The following is a 3,183-nucleotide window of genomic DNA, read 5'->3' on the forward strand; positions in this document are numbered from 1 at the left end:
TATAACAGACAGAATTCCTTTTACAGAATATTAAGATCTGAGATTTTATCCATTCATTCATTCACTCACTTATTAAACATATATATAAGACATCTATTTATTACTATTAGCAATACTTTTTTGAGTAATAGAAAGACAATAAATCATGATTCCTAAAGTCAGGTGGCTGATAGTCTGTCTGGAGAGATAAAGTATATAAACATAATAACTTAAATACAATAAAGAATGAGATAAATGGTGTAAGATAGAAATAAAGTGTTTGAGAAAAAACTATTTCTCATTAAGAGGATCTGTTTGTTAAAGAGCCTTGGAAGCACAGACAATAGTGTAAAGATGACTACAAAGTTAAAGGGAAGAGTGATAAATCTATTTTAATTAATGGGGAACATTTTAGATAGCCAAAGTGGTCCACTGTTGATACGATTTGGCTATGTCCCCACCCAAATCTCATCTTGAATTGTAGTTCCCATAATCCCAACATGTCGTGGGAGGGTGATTTAATCATGGTAAGAGGTAATTTAATCATGGGGGCAATTACTCTCAAGCTATTCTTATGATAGTGAATGAGTTCTCATGAGAGCTGAAGGTTTTATAAGGATCTTCCCCCTTTTGCTCAACACTTCTCCTTGCTGCCGCCATGTGAAGAAGGACGTATTTGCTTCCACTTCTGCCATGATTGTAAGTTTCCTAAGGCCTCCCCAACCTGCAGAACTGTGAGTCAATTAAACCTCTTTCCTTTATGAATTACCCAGACTCAAGTATGTCTTTATTAGCAGCCTGAGAATGGACTAATACAACTGTCTGTTACCGTTCCTTTAAGCAATGATGCAAGTAGCTCTCTTGTTCATTACGTTCAGCCACAACACTCATGCCCATCATGGCTCAACACTAACCATGGCTCAGGTAGGTGGGAGAGAATGGCTGCAAATCCCCTGGGAGCAGGAGGGAAGGTGGAGGGAGAAGGTGTAGCTTGAAAAAGAACCCTTCCCTCAATATTCTAACATATCTCCCTACTGAAACAATCTTAGAAGTAAATTGTCTGACTTTTTTAAGACCTGAAATAAGAACATCAATTTGCTCCCAAAAGCCTGAGAGAAGTGATTCCTACAACCTTGATATAACTTGCAAAGTTAAGCATTGAAAACAACTTCATAAGATAAACGTATTTTATAAGCTTAATTTCTGAGTCAACACCTATATAAAAACCATGTGTATTTTTCTGAAATGGCATTAAATATATAACCTTAAAAATAGCAAGAAATCACTAAATCTCTAAAAAACTAACAAATAAATAGGTATGTTACATTACCAGCCCCTAATGAGGACTGATAGATAAATAAAACAGTAGACTAACAAAAATAATAGAAAAAAACACGCACTGATTTTTTGCTTTTGGTTCGATATGGCTGCTTAAAAGTAATTTGCATTGTAAATATCTTGTTTCTGCATTAAGTGTATGCTTTTTGCCACTGTGGCATCTCTTTGCTCACCTCCGCATACTGGGGCTAAGGTGAGTTCTTCCACCTCTTTGTTTACTTGCCTTGCTCTGTTGAATAATTCACTGCTTGATGCAGGAGTTTCCAGGGGCTGCAGAGCAGAACTCAAAGCTGGTGGAGGTTGTGAAGCCCAGGAGTGGCAACTTTTTGCCTTTAATTAAAGTTCCTGCCCAGCTGATCCCATGCCCCAGCCAGGGAAGCAGTCTCTCTCTGACATTCTACATGAACACAAACAGCTTTACAAGCCAAGGAGCTGACTCCTTCACCCCACCAAACTCCTGCCTCTGCTAGCCTCCTGCAGTGTGAAACACCTTATAAATTAGAACAATTTATGGGGAATCATGTTGACAGACAGCAAAGGCTGTCAAAAGCAAAAAAAAAAAAAAAAAAAATCATGCAGGGTATGTTCCATCTCCAGCCTCACTGACTGAACATGCAAAATGGAGAATATTAAGTGACATTTGAGAATGCACCTTTTACATCTCACCTAAACCCATAAGAATGCACTGGAATGTCTGCATCTCTCACCTGCACAGGTGAGTCAGAGAGCCATCAAATGCATCTTTCAGACACTTTCAGCACCAGAGTTTAAAATCACACTTCCATAGAACATTCCTCACATGCTAGCTCAGTACTAATGCCTGTACTGGGGACGCAAAGCTGAGTCCCACAGACAGCCCTCTCCTGGAGGAACTCACAGACAGTGGGGGAAGAGAAAAGAAAGTAGATGAGGACCAAACACTGGGGTAAAGGATGGGAACAGAGAAGTATAGGGGAGGTCTTGAGGACACAGAGCCTCTTTCCCACGGAGTCAGATCATACTGAGTGAGTGGAACATTCTGTGCAGGGGAGACAGCCCCAGTAAAGGCCTAGGAGTGAGAAACGGCCTGACTAGGGAGAGAATAGAGTATGTACATTTCAGTGTTGTTGGGGCCCAGAGTTCAAGACAGGGAGAGGAGAGAGCTGAGGCTGAAGAAAGAGCTTGTGGCCAGATCCTGGACAACCTCTTATGTCAGGCTAAGGACCGTACTCGTCAGAGGGGGAAAGCAGCAGTCAGAAGACCCCAGTGCACAGAGATCCATGGTGTTGGTTGGTTGATCACAGTGTCCCTGGAAGAGAAACTGATGGGCAGCCTACTAAATTCTTACTTCATCTGTGTCATCAGAAGAACTCTAGGTCCAGTGAATAGATTCTGATTTGAATTACCAAAACAGAAAATTTCCCCAATCAACCAACTCCCAGACAAGCCAAGTTACAGATGCAGAGCCCCCTGAATACAAGGGAGGCCAGGTCCCCTTGAGGAAGGACCCCCACTATACTGCCCAAAATTTACACTATTAATCTTTTGCCCAGCCTTCCCCAAAGGAGCTTATGGCCATATACCAGGGTGACTGTGAATTGGGGGAAAGGAAATAATTAGACCTTTTGGGAACTACTGGACACTGGCTCTGAATTGACATTGATTCCAAGAGACCCCAGACATCACTGTGACCCACGAGTCAGCATAGGGGCTTAAGGAGGCTGTGTGGTCAATGGAGTTTTAGCTTAGTTCCATCTTACAGTGGGTCCTGGGGGTCCCCACATGCATCCTGCTGTTACTTCCCCAGTTCTGGAGTTCATCATTGCCACAGACATACTCAGCAGCAGGCAGAATCCCTGCATTGGTCCCCTGGTCTGTGGAGTGAGG

At 42.1% G+C, this 3,183-nt stretch overlaps 1 annotated feature.

The window, feature by feature from the left end:
- Positions 1,805-2,306: an enhancer, noted in NCBI's record as "NANOG hESC enhancer chr2:127516252-127516753 (GRCh37/hg19 assembly coordinates)". NCBI's record gives its function as "activates a minimal SCP1, AML or CMV promoter by ChIP-STARR-seq in naive H9 embryonic stem cells {active_cell/tissue: H9 hESC(naive)}" and the evidence as "EXISTENCE:reporter gene assay evidence [ECO:0000049][PMID:30033119]".

Source organism: Homo sapiens, chromosome 2 (assembly GCF_000001405.40).
Source record: "Homo sapiens chromosome 2, GRCh38.p14 Primary Assembly".
Taxonomy (NCBI): domain Eukaryota; kingdom Metazoa; phylum Chordata; class Mammalia; order Primates; family Hominidae; genus Homo; species Homo sapiens.